At 44.3% G+C, this 24,389-nt stretch overlaps 1 protein-coding gene and 1 pseudogene across 5 annotated transcripts in view; one reads left to right on the top strand and one right to left on the bottom strand.

Moving 5' to 3' along the window:
* Positions 1 to 24,389, bottom strand: part of GLP2R (glucagon like peptide 2 receptor) — a 66,176-nt gene that overhangs the window by 16,062 nt on the left and 25,725 nt on the right. For all 5 annotated transcript variants that reach the window (XM_011524077.4, XM_017025339.2, NM_004246.3 and 2 more), the window contains 6 exons: positions 21,437 to 21,543; positions 18,462 to 18,615; positions 15,937 to 16,096; positions 14,839 to 14,899; positions 13,948 to 14,017; positions 5,203 to 5,291 (listed from right to left, as the gene is read on the bottom strand). In XM_011524077.4, the coding sequence (XP_011522379.1) occupies positions 5,203 to 5,291; positions 13,948 to 14,017; positions 14,839 to 14,899; positions 15,937 to 16,096; positions 18,462 to 18,615; positions 21,437 to 21,543 (641 nt within the window). The remainder of the gene's footprint in view (positions 1 to 5,202; positions 5,292 to 13,947; positions 14,018 to 14,838; positions 14,900 to 15,936; positions 16,097 to 18,461; positions 18,616 to 21,436; positions 21,544 to 24,389) is intronic.
* Positions 22,631 to 23,372, top strand: NPM1P45 (nucleophosmin 1 pseudogene 45; annotated as a pseudogene).

The raw sequence follows: 24,389 nt of genomic DNA, 5'->3' as shown, positions 1-24,389 counted from the left end.
GGCATGGTGTCTCATGCCTGTAATCCCAACTACTTCAGAGGCTGGGGCAGGAGAATCACTTGAACCTGGGAGACGGAAGTTGTGCTGAGCCAAGATCGTGCCATTGCATTCCAGCATGGGCAACAAGAGTGAAACTCCATTTCAAAAAAATAAAAATGAAAATGAAATGCTTCTCCTTTATAAATGAATCAAGAGCTCTGCCCAGGTGCATCCCATGGAGAGTTAAGGCCCTTTATCTAGGGGAAGAGAGCTGCCTCTGAGCTGGGAACCACAAAGAACAGAGAACTCCAGCTGAGCTGACGGTCTGCTGAACTCTGTCCGCATTCCTAGGGCATTGCTTACCCTGTTTATAGCCCCAAAGTTCCTCCTTCACACTTGGCTCAGTTCTCTTTCTCCAAGCCAGACAGATGGACCATTTTTTATTTCCTTTGCTTGACGGTGGAAGCCCAGGGACAAGGGCTAAGACTACAGAAGGTTCTCTAGCTCCTAGCAACTTGCCTCTTTGGCAGGGCCTAAATGTGTTTAATTTAAACTTTCCTAAAATATAATCCTGGAGGGAGGCCAGATCAGGGTTACATTCTAAAAGTTCTCAAAATCTTCAAGAATTGGAGGCAGCCTGTACCTACAAGAGTTTGGATAAAATATGCTGGGCCCTGTCACCTCCTCCTTCTTATCCCATCAGAAGTCTTTAAGGGAAAACAAACATGGAAGGGGATGAGGAAGAGGAACAACTTTCCGACATGGAAGAGGGCACTGTGAGCTGAGGAGCTGAGGGGTGCCAATGCCCTGCTGGGGTTATAGTAAAGAGCACTCTCTCAGAACTTGAAAGTGAGAGAATTAGCGAGGCTTTCTAAGAGCACAATGGGCAAGTGAGTTCATAGATGCTGTAGGATTTACCAGCGCAGGGAGTTAAATAAGGTGGTTTAGGTGTGTCCTGAGAGATAGGTCCCTGCCTTTTTGCTAATGAATAAGCATTAGCTAATCAACTCTATTGCACTCTACACAAAGAACAAGTAAACAGAATGGTGGCCAATGAAAATGGCAGGGAAACCACAGAGGGAGGACGTTCTCAGTGCCTATCTCACCCTAGTCTGTGGAGGGCACACTGGATCTGGGGAATGAGCCTCCTTCCCAACAGGTAGGTGGTGCTGTGGGCAGATAGTGATTTTTCAGGCTAACCTCAGCATCCTTCAACAGCAAGACTCTGCTTTGTGATGTGATCACCAGTAACGTTCTTTGGATTCCTGGATCTTCTGGTGTTGCGGATTAGGAAATTTTGGGAGGCATGTGGGCACAAGAAAGGAATGCTCTACCCCATCCCCACCTTCCACAGACGTTAAAAATGAACAGTGTTCTAGTTTATATATATTGTGAGCTCAGCTGGGGTCAGTCAGCCTCCCAAAGTCTCAGCCACTCAAGAATATAGATGGGTTCCCTGTACTATACCCAGGTGGTGGCAAACTCACCAAGGTGAGGCATCTCACCCTAGGAGGACTTTGGGTAGACACACACCAAGGTACCTCTTTTATTATTATTATTATTAAAGAAAAAGGGTCTCACTCTGGCTCAGGCTGGTCTAGAACTCCTAGCCTCATGTGATCCCTTCCCCTTAGGCTCCCAAAGTGCTAGGATTGCAGGCATGAACCACTGCACCCAGCCCCAAGTTCTTCTTCTTAAGCTTTTTCTTTGAACAAGGGCAGGGGAGAGGAAAAAAGGAATTTCCAGACAGACTGCATATGTCAGGCAGGGTTGCTCTTTCTCCCCACAAAGCAGTCACCCTGGATCATCGCTCAGCCATGAGGGTCTCCCCAGTATCTTGATTTACCCTTTCCTAGACCAATGGCTCCTGGTGGGTACGCACCCTCCAGGGCTATGCCGGGCAATCTATTTGATATTGGAAGAAAATATTATAATAGAGGATAATAGGCATTGTATATATATTAATTTTTATCTGTCCTCTTAAATTTTCTATTTTTTGGTCTATCTTATAATACATATATTAGCTCATGATACCATGCATATACATGAGGAGGGATGTGCTCAGAATTTCTTTACTGACAGAGATGTGTGATCAGAAAAGTCTGAAAACTCTAGAGGGGACTCTGGAAAAGAGAACATTGAGGCTGCATGACATTTATAATGGCCCGACCAGAATATTCCACTGAGAACGTCCTCCCTCTGTGGTTTCCCTGCCATTTTCGTTGGCCACCTTTCTGTTTACTAGTTCTTTCTGCAGAGTGCAATAGAGTTGATTAACTAATGCTTATTCATTAGCATGTGTTCTTTCAATAGAACATCTGGCCCAGCAGTCCTCCACACTGGCTGTGTATCAGAATCTCCTGGGAGACTCTGCAGCAGGGGTATCCAACCTTTTGGCTTCCCTGAGCCCCGTTGGAAGAAGAAGAGTTGTCCTGGGCCCCATGTAAAATAAACTAACACTAACAATAGCTGATGAGCTAAAAAAAAAAAAAAAAAAAAAAAGTCCATGCATAGTTTTTGTGATATCCACCACAACGGATAAGCAAAAATGTCCTTCCATTCAAAGGGTTGGACACGGCTGCTCTGTGAGGTTCTATCCCGCATTTATGGAGTCAGAATACCCAGTGGTAGGGCTCACAAGGCTGCACTTCTGGCCAGCTGTCCGGGGATGCTGATGAGGAGCTATGATGAAAAACTATTTAGGGGTTGCTGTGGGTCTTGGGCATGGCGAAGGTGCCAGTGGCCCGTGATAGGCTTTGGGGGCACAAAGCAGCAGTGTGTCAGCTCTGAGTCCCTTTGGGGTCAACTGCACCATTTCTGTCTCCTGGAAACACTAGCCTCTGTCCACTTTCTGGGGCACCCTGGTTTTCCTGGCACCTGTTTATTGAGAGAACTCTCCTCCCTGAGTGCACCCAGCAGGGTGGACTAGAGCAGGCTTTGAAGCTCCACCCTGAAAGAGTGGTGAGAGAGGCTAAGCCTTTGGGAAGGGAGCCAGAGAGACTGCTTGGCCACTTGGAGCCTCGACTGGAGGCGCCAAGAGAGACAGCGTGGCTCCCTGGAGCCCAGGCCAGGCCGGCTCCCCAGGGCTACGGGTTTCTTGCAAAATGTTTGGACCAAAGCTCCAACTAGCAACTATAGTATGTCTGCCCATTATTGAACCGGGTATGTTTACCCTTCTAGACCTCCTAGAGGGAGGGTAGAGTGGCCACCCATATTTATAACCATATCTACAGACTCCTTGAATCCTCATAATAAGCAGGAGATGAGTCTGCAGTGACACTCCCATTTTTACACACCAGAAAGCAGGCCAAAGGGGCCAAGGCACTTGCCTAAGGCCAGTAGGCAAGTCTAGGGTCGTGGCCAGCTCCCTCCGTTCCACCTCCTGCTCCATGCCAACATCCTAGTCCTTAGCAAAGTAGAATGCATGCTCCTCAAATGCAGGGTCTACATCGTGTACACCGTTTTTTGTTTGTTTGTTTTTGAGATGGAGTTTTGCTCTTGTCACCCAGGCCGGAGTACAATGGCACGATCTCGGCTTACTGCAACCTCCGCCTCCCGAATTCAAGTGATTCTCCTGCCTCAGCCTCCTGAGTAGCTGGGATTACAGGCACACACCACCACACCCAGCTAATTTTTGTATTTTTAGTAGAGACAGGGTTTTGCCATGTTGGCCAGGCTAGTCTTGAACTCCTGACCTCAGGTGATATGCCCACCTTGGCCTCCCAAAGTACTGGGATTACAGGCGTGAGTCACCGAACCTGGCCTCATGTCCACCTTTTATTCCAAGCACAGTACCAGGCACATTGTAGGCATCTATTAAATATTTGTCAGATAAAAGGAAAAACTCCCTTCCCAGCACCTGGGTGAGGCCTTATAAAGGGGAGAGAAACAGGGCTAGGGCCATCTTCACTCGTGCCCACCTCTTCTGCCTTCCTGTGTGGACTGAAATTCCTACTCTTAGAGCTACTCTGTGGGTTAAAACACTCCCGTTCCAGAGCCCTGCTGAATGCATATGCCACATAGAAAGCAAAGAATAGGCCACGTGTGGTGGCTCACGCCTGTAATCCCAGCACTTTGGGAGGCCAAGGCTAGTGGATCATGAGGTCAGGAGTTTGAGATCAGCCTGGCCAACATGGTGAAACTCTGTCTCTACTAAAAATACAAAAATTAGCCGGACGTGGTGGCAGGTGCCTGTAATCCCAGCTACTCAGGAGGCTGAGGCAGGAGAATGGCTTGAATCTGGGAGGTGGAGGTTGCAGCGAGCTGAGATCATGCCATTGCACTCCAGCCTGGGCGACAAGAGCAAGACTCTGTCAAAAAAAAAAAAAAAAAAAAAAGAAAGAAAGTAAAGAATAACTAGGAAAAGAGGGAGGAAACCCTTTATCTCTCTTCATTCATTCATTTGCTTTTACAACAATGCAGATCTAATAAATACCTATGATCTGACTGACTATGAATGAGGACTGCTGTCATCTCAGAAAGAGGAAGGTGAGATGCAGCGACAACAAGTCACAATTAAAGGATGCCTGTGGAAGGATGTCTTTCCTTAGACCCTAAAAGTTTGTGGTCTCATTTCTCAAGGTCTCAAAAACACCCAAATAATCTCTTCTCTTCAAATCCTTCCCCAAGGAAGGCAACTGCCAAACTTCTCTTCAAACAAGACTGTCCTTTTCCCACAACCACCCATTCTTAGAAACTTTTTTTTTTTTTTTTTTGAGACAGGGTCACCCAGGCTGGAGTGCAGTGGCACAATCATGGCTCACTGCAGCCTCGACCTTCTGGGCTCAAGCAAGCCCCTCACCTTAGCCTGGGACTACAGGCATGCACCACGCCTGGCTAACTTTTGTATTTTTGGTAGAAACGGGGTTTCACCATGTTGTCCAGGCTGTTCTCAAACTCATGGCCTCAAGTAATCCTCTTGTCCCAGCCTCCCAAAGTCCTGGGATTACAGGTCTGAGACATCACTCCTGCCCTCTTAGGGGCATTTTAACAGTTTTCTGCTGGGGGATGTGAATGCCCTTGACTACTCACCATTTGCTTCATCGTCATAGAAGGTCCTCACCATTGACAAAAGCCTCACTTGATCCTATAGCACCTTCCCAGAACTGCTCTTTCTGATACCCTGGCCTTAGGAGATAAATGTCCTTCCCAAGACAGCGGGCAGAACAGCCAGAGTACTTACAATAACCTTGGACTGCTGGGGACCAACCTTAAGCCACTCACCTGTATTTATAATCTCTGAAGCACATTTGATGAGCTTTGAGCTTAGAAATGAGAAGCTTGAGAATTTTCAGGAAGATGAAGAAATTGACCTTGAAAAAAAGAGCAGAATTGGGTAAGTAAGTGACGAATTCCACATAGCTGTGAACTTCAAGGTCAGGCTGGGCTCGGCCATCAGTTCCATCAGTTCAATGTAAACCAGGGGCAATTCAGCAGTTAGCTGGCCAGGTAGTAAATGCTTAGCTGTGATCTCCACTGTCCTAAAGGCCATCTGAATCTCCACTGTCCCAAAGGCCATCTGAATCTCCAAAGTCCCAAAGGTCATCTGAACTGAAAGTCTGGAAGGAATTTCAGAAAGTGATTTAGTTTATTATTCTGCCTTAAGGAGGCCCATCATTAAGGCCATCTAGAAAGGCAGGTGGACGTTCACATTATTATTATTACTATTATTGTTATTATTATTAACTACCACGTATTGAGTACTTATCACTTAGTACTTAGCACCATGTCAGGCTTTGGGCTAAGAATGGTCCAGGCATTCTTGTATCTAGTTTTTACAACATCCCCTTAAGGTAGCCACAACTATTTTTATCCTCATAAAACAATGAGAAAACAGGCACAGAGAAGTAAGTGTAATTCCCAGGTTGCATGGCTAGTCAGTGATTAAGCCTGTAATTAAACCCAGATTCATGGGATTATAACCCTCCCTTCACTTAAACAGAACGCTATTCTGCCTCTCTTCTGTAAAGAACTCCATCCCTATTGGTGTCTAACTTGAGATCCTGTTGCTGCTATGGAATTCATAGACAGAATATGCTCTCTACTCCCTAGAATACATTCCACGACTGTCATGGACTGGGAAAATCCAGCCCTCCATTGTCAGCCTTTAAAGAAATTTAAAAATATGCCTGCAAATTCCTTGGCCCTTCTGCCTTCAAAAGTGGAGGCTAATCCCCCTTATTCCCCTTGTGAGGTGAGCTAGATTTAGTTACTTGCACTTAACGAAAAGAATATGGTGTCATAGAAGTGGTGCTATGTGACTTCTGGGCTAGGTCCTCAAAAGGATGGCTGGCTTCCACCCAGCTCTCTCTTTCTCTCTCTCTCTCTCTTAGGTTTCTCACTCCAGGGGAAGTCAGCCACCATTTTGTGAAGACACTCAAGCAGCCTGTTGGGAGATCCACGTGGGGTAACTGAGTTCTCAGGCCCAAAACCAGCACCACCCACCACCAGCTACGTGTGTGCGCCACCTTGGGAGCTGATCCTCCAGCCCCAGCCAAGCCTTCAGATGGCTGCGGCCCTGGCTGCCGTCTTGGCTGCAGCCTCGGGAGAGATCAAGAGCCCCCTGGAAGTGGTGAAAAGCAGGTGGCTGGGTTTGGGTAGAGCTTGGAGAATGAGAACAGGGTTTGTGAGAAGTGAGACTGGGCAGGAGAGGGGGGTCCGTTTCTGCAGGGTCTTTCACAGCCGTGGTAGGTAAGGAGTTTGGGTTTTCTTCTGAAAGCAATGAAGAGCCAGTGATAGATTTTAAGCACGCAAGTGACCTGATCAGATTTGTACTTCTGCATTTCAGAAAGATAATTTCAGCAGCAGTGTGGAGAATGGATTGGGTGAGGGTAAGGCTGGAGGAGGGGAGATCAGTTGGGAAGTAGTTTCAGAGTTCCTGGGGGACGGTGATGGAGAAAAGAAATCAGCAGCAGTTCTGGTGCTTCCATGATGGAGAGGAAGGGATCAATTTGAAATGATGAAGAAGTATGAGTCAAATGATCTTTGTTATTGACTGGATGTGAGGGCCTGAAGCCAGCAGGAATGATGGAGGTTCCTAGCCAAAGAATATTTAGGAACAGAAAGTTTAAATACAAGGTAAATGTAATCAAGTAATGTATTTCTTTTAATGGGATATCTGCCTCTCATCATAAAGAGAAAACGTTGTGTCCTTGGCTTAGTGATTTATTGAACATAGGCATTTTTCTTACAAAGCAAGCTTAACAGCAGAAAGGCATTTATTTCAGCAAATTAATTTCAATCAGGACTGTCTCCTAGGCAATGAAAGGTTATAATGGGAAGCATGTTGATTCACTGTTCTCTGTGTCTTCCAGAGACCAGACATGAGAAAATGGGCATCAACCCATAGAACGTACGAAGGAGGCACTTCCTCACTGCCACAGGATGAAACCCTAGCTGGGGGTACCATGAAGCCTCTGCTCATCTGGGCTTCCAAGAAGACAAGAGTCAGCAGGTACTTTTGGATGGTGCTGTTCTTCATTTTCACACAAGCAGGAAAGGGGCTGAGTGAGGACATTTTCCAAGAACCCAGCCAACTCCTCCAGGATTTTGTGACCAGATGGGGGTGGGTGCTAAGGACCCCAAATATATAAGGATCTATCCCAGATGCATTCTCAGATGTGACATTCTTGGTGACACTTTCTTGTTACCCCAGCTTCTGTGCACAGATCTGGGCCTACAAGTTGGCAGAGGTGATTGCCGGTATAGCGGGAGCTCAGGGGTAGGCCTCATCTACCCCTAAACTCTTCCATCTACCGCCAAACCCCTCCTCCTCTGGCCTGCTGTGTGGACTAAAATGCTAATCCTGTAGAGCTACTCTTGTGAGTCAAAACACTCTTTCCCCAAGAGCCCTGCTGAAAGGCACACAACCCACTGAAGCTAAGGAATCACTGGGAGAGGAGGAAGGAAGCCCTTTCTCCTTTCATTCATTCATTCATTTTTGCAACAATGAAGACTTCAGTAAGTTACCTAGGCTCTGGCTTATTATCACCATTTAAAGCAGAAGATGGGGTGTAGCAAAGCTAAGTTTTGATGGGGTGGGAAAACCCAGAGTACAGGGAGAGTCACACTTTAAGTCTTTAGAAGAGGAGAGCACAGGAGTGAGGAAATGTCTTGGGAAGCCTGAAGCCACAGAAAGCCCCTGGGTTCCTGGTGGGGCAGAGGACCTAAAGAGGGACAAGGCCAGTGAAGACAAATTTTACCAGTGCATCAACTTTGCCAAGTTCTGAGGCTATCACGGAAGATTCAACAATAGCAAATGCAGGCTTTTGACTTTATGATTTCATAAAGTCAACAGATGGTTCATTCAATTTGTTAGCTCAAAACAGCCATTTCACCGGGTCTGTTAACTGCAGGGTGCAGGGTATGGATAGAATGACCTTGCATGATGTAATTATTGTCTAAGGCTGTCCTTGAGCAGGACTAATCAAGACTTTACCAATATTCTACTGAGGGCTGGGGAGACTAGGCTGTAAGAATATGCCAGTTTCCGAGATGATTCAACTCTAAATGTACATTTCAGATGACAGGTGAAGTAGTGAAGTCTTATACAAAGAAAGAGGTGGGAATTCTACAATTTCTGCCTGGCAAGAGACCCAAAGGGCATCTGGATTCTTCAGGTTGCCACATTATGGTCATTTCTGAAACACAGGCAACCTTGTACCAACAAAGCAGTAAATGAAGTTTGCTGACGCATCTGGATTTCCAGCATGTTGTACACTCGCATCAACCCAGATGCTGGTCAGCAAATGCAGACCCAGTCTAGGGGATGGTGGGAGAGATCCAACTGTGATAACTAGGGATATTCACCAGGGAGCCGGAACCTGGGATGGGACACTCTCCTTGGTCCCAGTGCTTGGTTCACCATGCACAGTTGGCTTTTCCTCAGAAGCCTCTGATCCATGTTCCCCAAAATTGGGCCCAGGCTCAAATTTGACCAAGTTGAAAGAAAATTGTTAAGTACCTAGAAATGCCAAGTGCTACTAGCTCAGTCTTGATTATTGTTACTCTTTCTTACTTCAGTTTAAGTAGAACATATGTGGGGGCCAAAGAATTATTATTTTTTTCTTAACACAATAAAGATTTATTTTATCTTATTTTATTTTATTGGTTATGTCACAGTCTAGTGCAGTGGAGGGAGTTCTGCTCCATACAGTCATTCAGGAATCCAGGTTCCTTCCACGTTGTGGTTTAAGGAATTCTCTTTTAGAGTTGGGGTTATGTCTATTCAGATCAGTGGAAAATTGCAACATGTGGTCATATGACCAAAAATGAAGGCAGATATTGGTTCAGTCATAGTCTGATGAGTCTCAGAATGATAACTATTAAATTCTGAATTCCCTGAGGATAGAAACTCTGAAATAACCTAGCACCAAGCCAAGCCCAGTGAAGGTGCTCAATGAATGCTAAAGGAAGATACAAGAGAGTGGCTGAATGAGATTCCAGTGCTAAGGAAGCTCTACATGGCAGGAGATTTGATTCCATCAGTCTGGGTAAGTCTGGGCTGGGTATTTTTTTAATCCTCCCCAGGTTGTTTTAATGTGCAGCTACTGTCTAGTCCAGGGTTTTTCAATGTTGGCACTCTTAATATTTGGGGCAGGATAATTATTTATTCTGGGGGTGGTTCTGTGTGTTGTAGGGTGTTGAGCAGCATCCCTGACCTCCACCCACTAGATGCCAGTAGCAACATTCTCCTCCTATCCCCATCCCCAATTTATGACAATTAAAAATGTCTCCAGACACAGCCAAATGTCCCCAGGGGTCAGAATCTCCTCTGGTTGAAAACCACTGGTCTAGTTCAAGACTGATTTCATAGATGAAGAAACAGAGGCCCAGAGAGGCCAACTCACCTGGCTGAAGGACACATCACAAGTCAGTCATAGAGCCCAGGCTCCTGACTCCTAGCCTGCCTCTTTCACTTCTTTCTGCATGGCCTTTCTTTTCCCTTCCATGTCTGGTGGGACACATAAATTCCACTCTCTGGGGAGCCCTAGAACCAATGCACAGAGTCCTAGAATCCTAGAGCTGTGCAGATTGGGAGGGCAGCAGGTTTAGCTCCTTATTGTTCAGGACAGATTATCTTCTTGTAAACTGATAGACATGAAGATCTAATGCCTTTCTCTGGGGTATATGTCAGTGTTTTACAAGTTCATGGTTAAATGTCTTCCTTGTGACCAAAGGGAATGCTCCCATTTCTCTTCAAGCCCGTTTCCTCTAGTCCAAGTGCCTGTAGACACAGACAACAATAGTTAAGCAATGTCCTCTCTAAGAGCTGAGGGTGATTGTGAAATATTCCCTTCTAGGCATGCCTGTTGACTTATTTTAATTGCAGGGGGGTGGAGGGTAGGGGATAGAGAGATTAATAAAGGACTCAGTTTCCAAGGAGAAAGAGAATTTATCAGGCAGACCTGGGGCCATCCAACAGGCACTTGAGGCTTATGTGTGCATGGGAGGAGGGAAACACCATGGTGGAATTGGAGAACTTTAAATGTATCCATACGAGTAGAGCATCGGGCAATTCTGGTTAGGTGAGTAGAGAGGGAATGACTCTAAGGAGTTTAGAACCAGATCTGAGGGAAATAGTGACCCATTAAACAGTCAAGTAGAACAGAGACATAATCAAATTTTACTCCAAAAAGATCACTTGGGCTGCAACAAGAGGATGGATTGTCAGGGGCAAGAATGAAGAAGAGAGACCAAAAAGGAGGTGTTTGCAGAGGTCTGCACACACACACACACACACACAAAATCACAAGGGGCTAAAGAAGAGCAGAGACCAAGGGATTAAGGAGAAGGAAATGGCTTGGAGAGATCTTTAGAAGAAGAATTGACAGGACTTGAAGTCTGAATAGACGTTGCAGGGAGGAAGAGGACAGAAGTTAGGAGAACACCAAGCTTTCCAGCTTGGGTGCCTGGGTGGGTGGGTGGTGGAGCCATTTTCTGGGTAGAGTGAGTAGGAGAAGGAGAGGTCTGAATGGGAAGATGAGGAGTCCACCACAAGCTAAGGTGAGAGTGGCCATTTCAGTAGAGCTGACCATGACTGGAGTCACAGAAGCAACAGCATGTAAAGGTCATTTTATCCAAAGTGAGAAGATAGAGCATGTTCTCTTGTCCCAACTAGGAAGCACCAAGGGAAACTAGAATGCGGGTCAGCCAGCCATAGAAGGCCAAAGCAGCAAGGCCCAAAGCAGTAGTTCTAGCCACTAGGATCATTTCAGGGGTTTTAAAACTACAGTGGGGCCAGACACGGTGGCTCATGCCTGAAATCCCAGCAGTCTGGGAGGCCGAGGTGGGTAGATTGCTTGAGGTCAGGAGTTCGAGACCAGCCTGACCAACATGGTGAAACCCCATCTCTACTAAAAATACAAAAATTAGCCGGGTGTGGTGGTGGAAGCCTGTAGTCCCAACTACTAGGGAGGCTGAGGCACAAGAATCGCTTGAACCCAGGAAGCAGAGGTTGCAGTGAGTCAAGATTGCACTGCTGCATTCCAGCCTGGGTGACAAAGCAAGACTCCGTCTCAAAAAAACAAAAAACAAAAAACAAAACAAACAAACAAACAAACAAACAAACAAAAAAACAGAAAAAACTACAGTGCCTAGGCCCCACTCCCAGAATTTCTAATGTCATAGGTCTGGGGTATAAGCCGCCATGATGTTTCTAACATACAACCAGTTTTGAGAACTCCAGGAGTAGACAAAGAGGTTCACAAACTTTAATGTTCATCCAAAACCTGGGGAGCTTGTTCCAATGCAGACTCGGATTCAGTAGGCCTGGGAGATGGGGCTGGAGAACCTGAATTTATAACAAGCGCTCAGGCGATGCTGGTGCTACCCGGTCTGAGGACCATCCTTTGAAAAGCAAGGTTGTAGCAACATGCTTTTCAACTCAGGCCCCTCCTGAGATCAATGAAACATAAATGTCTGGGGGTGGGACTCAGGCAAAAAGAATTTTTAAAGACACCCAGGGGATTCCAAGAGCAACCCAGTTTGAGAACCATTGGTGTAGCTCCTAGAAGACTGCAAGTAAACACTAGGGATCCAGCTGGACCATGCCTCAACGCTATCCTAGGGATGGCTGCTGGCCTCCATTCTACTTTGTTCTACCTGGTTAGCAAGAACCTTTCAGGGTCCAGAATGTAGGCCATGAGTGTGCACTGAATATGTTTATCAAGAACCCACCATATGCTTGGGCTGGCTGCCAGGATGATCAGAACATGGGGCTTACAGTGGCAGAAAATGGGTTTTAAAGAGATACTTGAAATGGTGTTGGCTAGGGCTGGAGCAGAAGCCTGCACAGGATCTGGGAAGGAACAAAGGAGAGTGTGGCCATTTTCACTTCGTGAGGTGAGCATCCAGGTAGAGCAGCACAGAGAGAATGATGCCTGACCCAAGACTTGAAAGATGAGGAACAGATCACCAGGTGGAAAAGATGGCGAGGGAAGGAGTTGGAGCCAGAGGAGAGTCTGAACCAAGGTACTAAGGTGCAAAAGAGCCTGCAGCATTCAGTATGGCAGGCGTGGGGGCTGGAGGCAGTAAATAGTTTTTGAGCTGCACAGTGCTACGGTTAAAAGTGCCAGCTGTCATCCCATCACACCCTTTGGGCTGAGATCCAGTTTCCATTGACTGGCTCTATGATTTTAGGCAAGTAATTTCTCATCTCAGTGTGCTCACCAGTAAAATAAACCTAAGAATGGCATATCTTCACAGGTTGGTTGGGAAGATTAAATGAGTTCATACACTCATACACAAAGCACTTACAAATGGAGCTGGTATGCAGAAGTGCTTAATAAATGTTTCTGGGACGTTGGTGGAATTGTCCAGACAGGACCCCAGCTGGGCAGTGTGGCTGGAGAGAGGACTGTGGAGGGCAGGAGGATGTGGCAGGGCTAAGCACACCATGTGTGGGGTGTGTGTGCCCAGACCTCATCTGGCACACTATCAGCTGCAGGTCCAGTGACAGGAGGGAAGATACCGCAGCATACGTGCCACCTCATAGACCAGAGATGACACAGGCCTGTCCACACTCTCGGTTTTCCCACCACTTCTAGGACCATTTTTCCCTCCAGGTCACACCCAGGTCTAAACAGAGAGTTGCCTTCTATTATTGACAAATATTGAAACTCCCCTATAAAAACTAGCCTTTTTCTTTGATGGTACCACAAATGCCAGATTATTTATATAAAATGGCAAAAACAGATCATCCAGCAACCCCTTGGGGAACAGGGTGGGCAGAGAACAACACGTAGTGTTCAGCACCTGGTGGGCACGCGAAGATTATGGTGGTGTGTCTAGGCAGGAATACTTTCCGCCTCCCTCTGGGATCTTGCTAACCCTTCCCAGTGTTTGCTAACTTTCTGCCCCTTCCTGCTAGCTTCTTTGACAGTTCTCATTCTCACACCCTATTATCTAAAGGAATTTTTGACTCTGGATTGGCCATCCCTTTCCATTCCAAATATTCTGGACCACAATGATTAAAGGTCCTTCCTCCCTAAGGTCTCAGAGTAGCATCTATGTCTTGATTCTAAGCTGCATCACAATTTTGGGTTAATATTAATTGTGTGTTTTCTTCCTCTAAAAGAAGTTCCCTTAGTCTCTTCCTCCCTCCTGTGGATGGTGTTAGGATATAAGCCGATACCCCTGCTATTCTGGGTTCCTCCATGACTAAAGGCATTGGTATCCTCAGGGCCTTGCACACATCTCAGCCCTTCAATACAGGAGCACAGAGCTGACTGCAGGTCTCTTTACACAGTTTGAAGACCCAGAGAGAAGGAGGCTTACAATGTAACTCCAAATTGAGGTCCTGAACCAGAGCAAGAAACTTCTAACTTCTCATTCAGCAGAAAATGCTCATAGTTCAGCTTCTCTCTCTCAAGGGATCAGAGAACCTGGGGGACAGAAGTCGGGTGGGGCGGGGGGATTCCCCACAGCTGCTAGGCTCCGAGACAAAGAGGTGGATGGGATGGTCCTTACTGTTACACAGAGCATCATGGGTCCTCGGATGATCCACCAGATTTTCTTATTCCCATTTGTTGTCCAGCACCTAAGGTCAACAGTAGAAGCAGGCAGTAGAAGACTTAAAAACAAGAGGAGGTTGAAAGTCAAAGCCTCATGCTCTCTGGAAGAAGGATGCTTGCACTCAAGCCCTACTTCCCACCAATCAGTCCCCTGAGGGGTGGGAGAGGCAGAAGAGAGAACCCAAATCCCTTCCTGTTAGTACTGGTACAGTTTACTTTCCTTACCATTAAATTGCTCTTCAGTGGTAACAGCCTAGTGTGTATATCTTTCCAAAATTTTCCTCCATGTTCATACAAACATAAATTCCTAATTATGTAGTTTTTTGTGTGTGCTATTTGGAGGAAAAAAATGGGATCACACAATATACGTTTCAGCAATAGGCTTAAAACAGGCTGTTGAGAATCAGTGCCTAAAAGTTCCCATAATAACGAACTTGCTTTTCTTTAAGTAGTTTCATAATATTCTGCAATATAGGTATATTACAGTTTGTTCAATGATTCCCATATTGATGAGCATTCAGTGGTTTTTTGTTTGTTTAGTTTTGTTAATTTTTTTTCTCACTATGAACAATACTGCAGTAACCACTCTTGTATTTTTGTCCTTACGTACCCAGGGCTGCAGCTAACCTATACAGCATCTTTGAGCTAATTTGCATGTGTAACTAAATTAATAAACTAATTGCTATAAGATCTCTGATTATTTTATCTCCCATTCCTAAGAATATTCTAGATGGCCAAAATGAGAAGGGATAGATATTTTCTACGGTAAAATGATGTCATTCTTTGTATTTAGGCATGCCTGGGAATTACCGGCTCGTGAAAGAATAACACCTGGTGAATTACCTACCCTGTGTTCTCCAGGTGTGCACGGGCGAAACCCCAGGGTACAACAAATAGCACAGGGAAGGCTGGGGAGAAAACACAGGGAAATGTAGTTAGGAGTTGGTTGGCCAAACCTGCTTGCCTCCCACCACAGCGGATGAGGCTAACCACAGGTGGTTACAACATCAAACCTAACATCATGGAGTTGTGGACTGTGAGAGCTGGAGAGACCCAGGGTGGCACATGGCCCATCCATTGTTTTACCACCCAAGAAACCAGGGCCCAGAGGGGGAAAGCGACTGGATACTTGTCACAAAGCAGCTGAGAATAAATCCAAGGATATTAACCCGAATCTCCTGAATTACTGGCCCAGGTTATTTCCTCTGAATCCTGTAGCACCAAATTCTCCAAAGGGTTTGTGGAGGTAGGGGGTCCAAATCTAGATACTCTTGGTCATATTTTTTTAATCAGAAAACTCTTCTTGAAGACCTGGTATTATGGACTAAATGTAGGTGTCCTCTCAAAAGTCAGATGTTGAAGCCCTACCCCAGTGATGGTATTTGGAGACAGAGCCTTTGGTAGTACTTACTTAGGTTTAGCTGAGATCATGAGGGTGGGGTCCTCATGACAGGATTAGTGCCCTTTTAAAAAGAGACGAGAGAGCTTGCTTTCTCACTCTCCTCACCATGTGAGAATACAGGAAGAAGGCAGCTGACTGCAAGCCAGGAAAAGAGCCCTCACCAGAACCCAACCATGGTGAACTTCCCACCCTCCAGAACCATAGGAAATCAATGTCTGTTATTTAAACTACACAGGTATTTTGTTTTGACATTCCAAGCAGACTAATACAGTTGGGGACAGGGTAGGAGGAATATCATCAGATTCCACCAAAGACTTTCTCAATTTTTGAATGTGTCCATTGGGCTGTTGGGCCTATGGCCCCTGTGCATATGTGTGCATTTGTGTGCACACACATACCCCTCTTCAAAGCTCCCTGTCTTTGAGGACTTATATGTCCCAGAAGCAACCTCCAGTTAGGTTTCTAAGTCCAACTAAAGTCTCTATCAGGCTCCCATATTTTGATGGATCCCCAGGAAAGGAAGCTGAAGGTCAGGTCACTCACCCCAACCCAACAGCAGGTATCTGGGCCACAGCCGCCTCTCAGGAAGCACTGTGGGCTCCAGCAGCGTGTGGAGGTAGAGGCCTTCAACCAGCAGCCATAAGTAATTGGCACCCACAAAGTAATGCAAGAGAACCTGGACTGAGCGGCAGGAGGTGGACATCTGCAGAGGAAAAAACACCTGAGGGTGAGTCCAGGCTCCCCTGCATCTGATCCCGAGTCGGGGGAGAAGGGCCTCCCAGAGACAACCTCTCCCTCTTTTTTTTTTTTTTTTTTTTTTTTTTTGAGACAGAATCTCACTCTGTTGCCAGGATGGAGTGCAGAGGTGCAATCTCAGCTCACACTGCAACCTCCAGCTCCCTGGTTCAAGTGATTCTCCTGCGTCAGCCCCCCGAGTAGCTAGGATTACAGGCAAGTGCCACCACACCTAGCTAATTTTTGTATATGTATGTATATATATATATATATTTTTTTTTAGTAGACACAGGGTTTCACCATGTTGGCCAGGATGGTCTCGATCTCCTGACCTCGTGATCCACCCGCCCTGGCCTCCCAAAGTGCTGGGATTGCAGGTGTTAGCCACCGTGCCCGGCCCCCTCCCTCTTTACTCTGTTCTCTCCCAGACCTTTGCTGACCATCTCAGGGAGGTTGGCAATAATATCAAAATATGAAGGAAGGAGGGCTTCAGGTAGGTGTTCAAGGCCAGCCTCCTCCTTAACATTCTAGACATTTTTAGACAAACAAAAATGTAGAAAATTCACCATCAGCAACTGCCCTAATGGAAACACTGAAGAGTACTCTAACCTCAGTTCAATTAAGCTAAAATCAATAACTAAAAAATGTTCATATGATTGGAAATTAGAAAATAGACTTCTAAGCAATCCATGGATCAAAGAAAAAATTGAAACAAATTAGAAATTATTTCTTAACTGAATGTAAAGAAAATATTGCATGAACTTACAACATACGGTTAATACCAAACCTTATATAATAAAACGTATAGCCTTAAGTGCATTTTTTAAAAAAGAAAAATGCTGAATATCAATTATTTTAAGGATCATGTAAAAAAAAGTTAGAAAAAGAATAGCAAATTAAGCCCAAAGAAAGTACATGGGAGGAAATAATAAAAGCAGAAGTTAATGAAATAGAGAACATGAGATAAAGATAATCAACAATGCCAAAAGTTTATTCTTTGAAAAGTCCAATAAAGTTGAGAAACTTGTTGCCAACATGATCAAAGGGTAGAAAAAAGAGCAAAGATACAAATAATCAATATCAGGAATGAAAATGAGAACACTCTTACAGATCCAATGGACTTGAAAAAGATCCAAAGAGAATATCATGAACAATATTATGCCAATAAATTCGAACAGTTAGATGAAATAGATGAATTCCTAGAAAAACTCATTTGCTATAGCTGACAGAAGAAATAGAATCTGGATATTAGATTCGTAATTAATCCATAGTTTAAAACTTACCAATAAAGAAACCTCTGGGTCCAAAATGCTTAATTGGCACAATCTATCAAACATTTAAGGAAGAAATAATACTTATCTTTAATACATTCTTCCAGAGAATAGTGAAAGAGGAAACCAGCTCTAATTTGTTTTACGAGGCTAGCACAAATTTGATCCCCAACCTGACAAAGGCATTACAAGCCAATCTTTCTCATGAATGGCAACAAGGAAATACTCAACAAAACACAGTATTAGCGAACTAAAGACAGCAACTTAGGAGAAAGAAAATAATATGTCAAAACCTAGTTGGATTTATTCCAGGAATGCAAGGTTAGTTTAATAGGTTACTGCGTCATTAGCAGGATAAAGGAAAAACTATCTCAATAGATGCAGATTTCAATGTGAAAAAGCATTGCTGCTTCAAGAAAATAGTACAATTGTCCCTCAGTATCCTTGGGGGATTGTTTCTAGGACCCCCTGTGGATACCAAAATCCACAGATGCTCAAGTCCCTTCTATAAAATGGTGGAATATTTGCCTATAACCTATGCACATCCTTTCATATACTTTAAATCATCGCTAGATTGCTTGTAATACTTAATGCAATGTAAACGCTATGTGAATAGTTGTTATACTGTATTGTTTAGGGAATAATGACAAGGAAAAAAAAGTCTGTACATGTTCAGGTCAGACGCAATCACCCTTTTTATTCCCAGGTATCTTCTATCCCCAGTTGGTTAAATTCATGAATGCAGAACTCACGGATACAGAGGGCCAGCTATAATTGTAAAATACGTTGATCTGGTCCAATTCTTTTGTTTGCACATGAAGAAATTCCCACCCAAGGACATACAGCAGCCATGGTGAACCCTTCTGTTTTGGTTTCTTTCACCTGGCCTGCTCTTGGCAGGTGGTGGTTTTGTTAAGTCACGTACTACTTCTCTAGCCAGAAAGTCTTGGAAACCCTCTTATCTCCCGCTGCCCCTCCCTAGTCCCACCTGCCTGCCTTCTGATTCCCAGTACTGACCCATCAGGTGGGGAGTCCAGTGTAAACAGTGGGGAAGGGGATTACCTCTGACAGGTAGGACATCCACCCATTCTCATTGTCAGGCCTCTTGGAGTAAGAGTTGTAGAAGACGACGTCCTTCACCAGTACAGCCAGGGTTCTCAGGATGAAAGAAGCAAACAAGTTCATGTGGATGTAGTTGCGCGTGCAGTGGAGTTTTCTGTGCGAGGAGAAAACCAAATGCCTTCCCTCAGGAAAGAATGGCTCCAACCAACAGGCCTCTGCCTTTTATGCCTGTGTATCTATCACTAAAGACAGAGGGTCATAGTATAGGCTGCAGAGCTGGACTGCTGGATTATGTGACCGTAAATCTCTGTGCCTCAGTTTCGTCATTTGTAAAATGAGAGTAATAATAGTTATCACCGGCCAGGCGCGGTGGCTCACACCTGTAATCCCAGCACTTTGGAGGCCGAGACAGGCGGATCATGACGTCAGGAGATCGAGACCACCCTGGCCAACATGGTGAAACCCCACCTCTACTAATAATACAAAAGTTAGCTGGGTGTGGTGGCGCGTGCCTGTAATCCCAGCTACTTGGGAGGCTGAGGCAGAAGAATTGCTTGAACCAGGGAGTCGGAGGTTGCAGTGAGCCTAGATCACGCCACTGCACGCCAGCCTGGCAACAGAGCGAGACTTCACCTCAGAAAAAAAAAAAATAGCTATCACCTACAAAACATCTTCAACATGCCAGCCGTGTTCCAAATCATTTACATATGCAGCTACATTTGAGTATTCTTACTCCTTACCACCACTGGAGGTATAGGAATTATTATTACCCTGATTTTATAAATGAAAGAATTAAAGCAGAAGGATGAAGTCATCTGTCCAAAGTCCCAGAGCAGTAAGTCGCAGAGTTGGGATTCAGACACAGAAACTCTCAGGCCAAAGCATAGGTCTCCCAGTTTCTTCTGCCTCTGAGAACAAGAGCACTTACCTCCAGGGGTTGTGGAATGATTAAATCCGTTAATCTGTGCACATAAGTAAGTGTCCAGAAAAATGTTAGCTCTCATCACCTCTTCCTTATGCACCTGGGGTCTCCTGCAGACTCTTTGTGTGTGATGTGACATTGTGCATCCTTGCTGTCACCAGAGGAAAGCTGTGCTCCCTGGGTAGCACACACCCTGTCCTATATTGCTTTAAAGCTATTGTTATATTTTTAGTTTCTAAAAGGACCTGAGGCAGGTTCTTGTGTCTTAGGATTTACACATTCTTCTCTCTAACTAGACTGGGGGCTATTTGAGGGCAGCGACTGGGCCTCACTTTTCCCCAAGCCTTAGGCAGAACTGACACTTGGTTGTCCCAGGCTTGGCCGAAGTGACTTCCTACAGGGCTGGGCAGTTATTTTCTCCTGGCTTGGTCCTGGGACTTTGGGACAGGGCATGAAGGAAGGAGGTCACAGATAATCAGTGTGTACAAGTTGCAGAGTTCTCCCATAGCTCAAGCATGGTTCTCCCAATGGGGTAGATGGTCATGACTTTACCCTAGGAGCTGCAGAACATCTCAGGATTGAGGAGTCACATGAGGCCCAACCCAGGGCTAGCAGAGCCCAGGTGGAGAGGTGCTCTGGAGCTGGTTTCCAGGTCTCCCACACCTATGTCAAATGCTCATTCTGCCACATTATATCCGCTTACATTCCTGAGACCAGAGACAGCTTTGGAGAGCTTTCTAGTGGGTCCATAAATGTCTCACTTGCCTGATTTCTAAAAGCATGATTTAGTAAAAGGCACACAGGCTTTGGAATACTGAAAGTTTAGGGAGTGAAAGTGCTCAGATCCTAGACTGCTTGTTTGTGATCCTGGCTTCATCACCCACCAGCCGGTGATCTTGGGCAAGTTACTTCATCTCTCTATATTTCAGTTAACTCACGTCTAAAGTGGGGGTAATAATAATGCTAACCTCCCAGGAATAGAATGAATCCTAATTTGAATTAGGGATGACATTTAAACGACTTAATGCATGTAATGCGCTTAGGAGTAAGCACTTAAATTTGATAGCTAATTGACATCTGAGGGCCCTGAATTGAAATCCCAGCTCTTCCATCCATTTGTTTACCTTGGGGAAGATTCTTAATCTCTTCTGTAAAAAGAATGCCTCTGATTGAGTTGTAGTGGGAATGGGCTGTGGTGGTAATGGGTGTGATTAGGGATTTACACCAGGGCCGGGCGCACAGCAGGTGTCTAATCCAAAGGAGGTAAAGCTGTCAGGAGTCTTGGGTTCAAATTCTAGCTGTGTAGCCAACTGGCTTTATGGCCAGAGGTGACTCAATGCCTCTGATTGGGACATTGCCATCCCTTTCTTCCCCTTCTTCTGCAAAATGGGATGGATTGGACTTAGCCTCTCTCTGGTCATTTCCAGCTTTGATGATTCATGACACATCCAGCCCAGTCTTCCAGTGCCTTCTAGAGGTAGCCAATGAGCAAATTACACAATACCATAGTTCCCCCATTATCCACACTTTTGTTTTCCACTGTTTTAGTTACCTGCAGTCAATCATGGTGCACTGCGGCTCAAAAATATTAAACGAAAAACTTCCAGAAATAAATAATTAAATAAATAGTTCATGAGTTTTAAATTATGTGCTGTTCTGAGTAAAGTGATGAAATCTAACCTTGACCAGCTCCATTCCTTGATCATCACAAAAAGAAGGGTGAACATAGTGTAATGATATTTAGAGAGAGGCCACATTCACATAACTCTTATTATAGTATAGCATTATAATTGTTCTATTTCAATATTGGTTATTGCTGTTAATCTCTCACTGTGCCTAATTTATAAATTAAACTTTATCAGAGGTATGTATGTATAGGAAAAAACATGGAGATAGAACCAAACATAGGGTTGGTTCTATCCCTGGTTTGAACACTATGTTTCGTTCTACCCCTGGTTTCAGGCATCTACTGGAACTCTTAGAACATATCCCCTGTAGATGAAGGAGGGCTACTATACCTGCCCGAACACATGCCTGCAGAAGTTCTACTCACCGAAGAAACAAGAGGAGGGTGAGAGCCAGGAAGAGGGAGATAAGAGAGAAGGAGTATCCCACGGTGTACATCAGCTGCAAGGTTGACAGCAAGGCATAACGATCCACCTGAACACAGAGGAAGAGCAGACATGACCACTAAGCCATGGGGCTATGGCCACAACCCCCAGCTCCACACCCAGGGCCACCAAGGGCCTAGGCATGGACTCCCAACATTTTTTTAAATGTTTCCTTCCCCATCCTTGTTGACACCCAAATAGGGTAGTTTAGATTGCTCTCTGGTACATCTCAGAGGCCAAGGAGCCTTAACAAGTGAAGAGCCCACGGTGGGTCTCACCCCTGTGACTGGGCCCACAGCCCAGCACTGATACACCAAGAGCCACAATATCATAAAGGAATTGCGTTCAGAACAAGAGGATGCCTTGGGAATGAGAACAGGCTCTTTGCCCTTGGGAGCACTGTCCCTAGGGTCTATGGGTCCTTCCTTCTGGAGGACAGGGCCAAATTTCTGTCTGAATGTTTCCTTTGTAAAGTAAGTCTTCATAGATGACCTCTTGGAAGAAGACTCAATGAAACATTGCAATATTTTCTCTGAGTCCCAGGTCGCCTGATTGTGAACACAGGATAATTTACTAGAAATTTTGTGTTATTAAATGCGATTTTTTTGTTCTATGTTCATGAGAGATTTTGGTCTGTAGTTTTATTTTCTTGTAATGTGTTTGTCTGGTCTTGGCCACATAGCTGAGTTGGGAAGTAGTTCCTCCTTTTCAATTTTCTGGAGAGTTCATGTAGAATTGGCATTATTTTAACTTTATATATTTGGTAGAATTCACCATTGGAGTTAAATAGGTCCGAGGTTTTTCTCTGTGAGAGAATTTTAACTGCAAGGCAATTTTAATAATAGATATAGGACTATTCTGGTTATCCATTCCTTCTTTAGTGAAATTTTGTAGTTTGTTTCTTTTAAAAAAATTATTGTATCCAACATGTAGAAATTATTGGCAAAAAGGCATTCATCAAAAATCTCTTATTATCCTTCTAATGTCTATAAAGTATCAGTAGTGATGTTCCATCTCTCTTAATATAACTCCTGACCTCTCTCTCACTTTCTCTCTCTCATCTTTAATTCTTTCCCTTTTTTAAGTTCATCTTTCTAGAGGTTTACCAAATTTATTGATCTTCTTAAGTAACCAAGTTTGGCTGGTGTGATTCCGTCCTGCACAGCTGTTCCCTGGAGCAGCAGTCATTTATCTCTGTCCACCTTTTCTCCCACCTAAGTACGTGCCACCACCCCATGGAGGACTCGATGGAGATGGACATGAGCCCCCGGAGGCCCCAGAACTATGTTTTCAGTTGTGAACTAAAGGCCGACAAAGACGATCCCTTTAAGGCGGACAATGATGAAAAGGAACACCACTTATCTTTAAGAATTGTCAGTTTGAGGGCTGGTGCAAAGCATGATTGCACATTGTTGACGCAGAGACAATGAATGACGAAGGCAGTCCAATTAAAGTAACACTGGCGACTTTGAAAATGTCTGTACAGCCAATGGTTTCCATGGGGGCTTTGAAATCACACCACCCACGGTCTTACAGTTGAAGAGTGTGGTTCAGAGCAGATGCCTATTAGTGGACAGCACTTAGGAAGATGCAGAGTCAGAAGATGAAGAGGAGAAGAATGTGAAACTCTTAAGTATATCTGGAAAGTAATCTGCCCCTGGAAGTGGTAGCAAGTTTCCACAGAAAAAATTAAAACTTCCTGCTGATGGAGAAGATGATGATGATGATGAAGATGATGATGTTGAAGAAGATGATGATTTTGATGAGGAAACTGAAGAAAAAGCAGCAGTGGAGAAATCTATGAAACACTCCAGGCAAAAATGCACAAAAATCAAACCAGAATGGAAAAGACTCAAAACCATCAACACCAAGATTAAATAACCAAGTTTGGGTTTTATTTATTTATTTTCATATTGTCTTTCCGTTTTCCATTTAATTAAATTCTATTCATACTTTGTAATTCTTTTCTTTTGCTTACTTTGAGTTTAATTTGCTGAGGTTTTTTTCCTAGTTTCTTAAGATGGCAGTTAGGCCACTGACTTGATATTTTTCCAATTTTCTAATATAAGAATGCTATAGATTGGATAAAGAAAATGTGGCACATATACACCATGGAATACTATGCAGCCATAAAAAAGAATGAGTTCATGTCCTTTGCAGGGGCATGGATGAAACTGGAAGCCATCATTCTCAGCAAACTAACACAGGAACAGAAAACCAAATACCACACGTCCTCACTCATAAGTGGAAGTTAAACAATGAGAACACATGGACACAGAGAGGGGAACATCACACACGGGGGCCTGTCAGGGGGTTGGGGCCAAGGGGAGAGAGAGCATTACAGCAAATACCTAATGCATGTGGGGCTTAAAACCTAGATGATGGGTTGATGGGTGCAGCAAACCACCATGGCACATGTATACTTATGTAACAAACCTGCCCGTTCTGCACATGTATCCCAGAACTTAAAGTAAAAAAAAAAACAAAAAAAAAAACAAATGCTATACATTTCTCTCCATGACTGCTTTGGTTGCATCACAAAATTATTGGCATATTGTATTTTTGTCTTTATTTAGTTAAAATATTTACTAATTTATTTTATACTTTTTTACTTGACTCATGGGTTATTTAGAAGTATGTTGTTATTTTTTTTTTAATATTTGGGGAATTTTCCAAGCAACTTACTGTTTTTGATTTCTAATATATTTTGTGTGATTTTAAAAACTAAATTTATTTCTCTTTTTAGAACATTTTTTAAATGAGATAAAAATTTACCTTTATATGTACTATTTCTAGTGTTCTTCATTCCTTTTTGTAGATTAAAATGTCTATGTCGTATGTTTTTTTCTTTCTCTGTTATCATTTTTTGCAGTGGTGGTCTGGAGGCAGAACTCT

Source organism: Homo sapiens, chromosome 17, assembly GCF_000001405.40.
Source record: "Homo sapiens chromosome 17, GRCh38.p14 Primary Assembly".
Classification (NCBI taxonomy): Eukaryota; Metazoa; Chordata; class Mammalia; order Primates; family Hominidae; genus Homo; species Homo sapiens.
The sequence above is the reverse complement of the archived record's forward strand: the minus strand, read 5'-3'. Positions and strand labels throughout refer to the sequence as shown.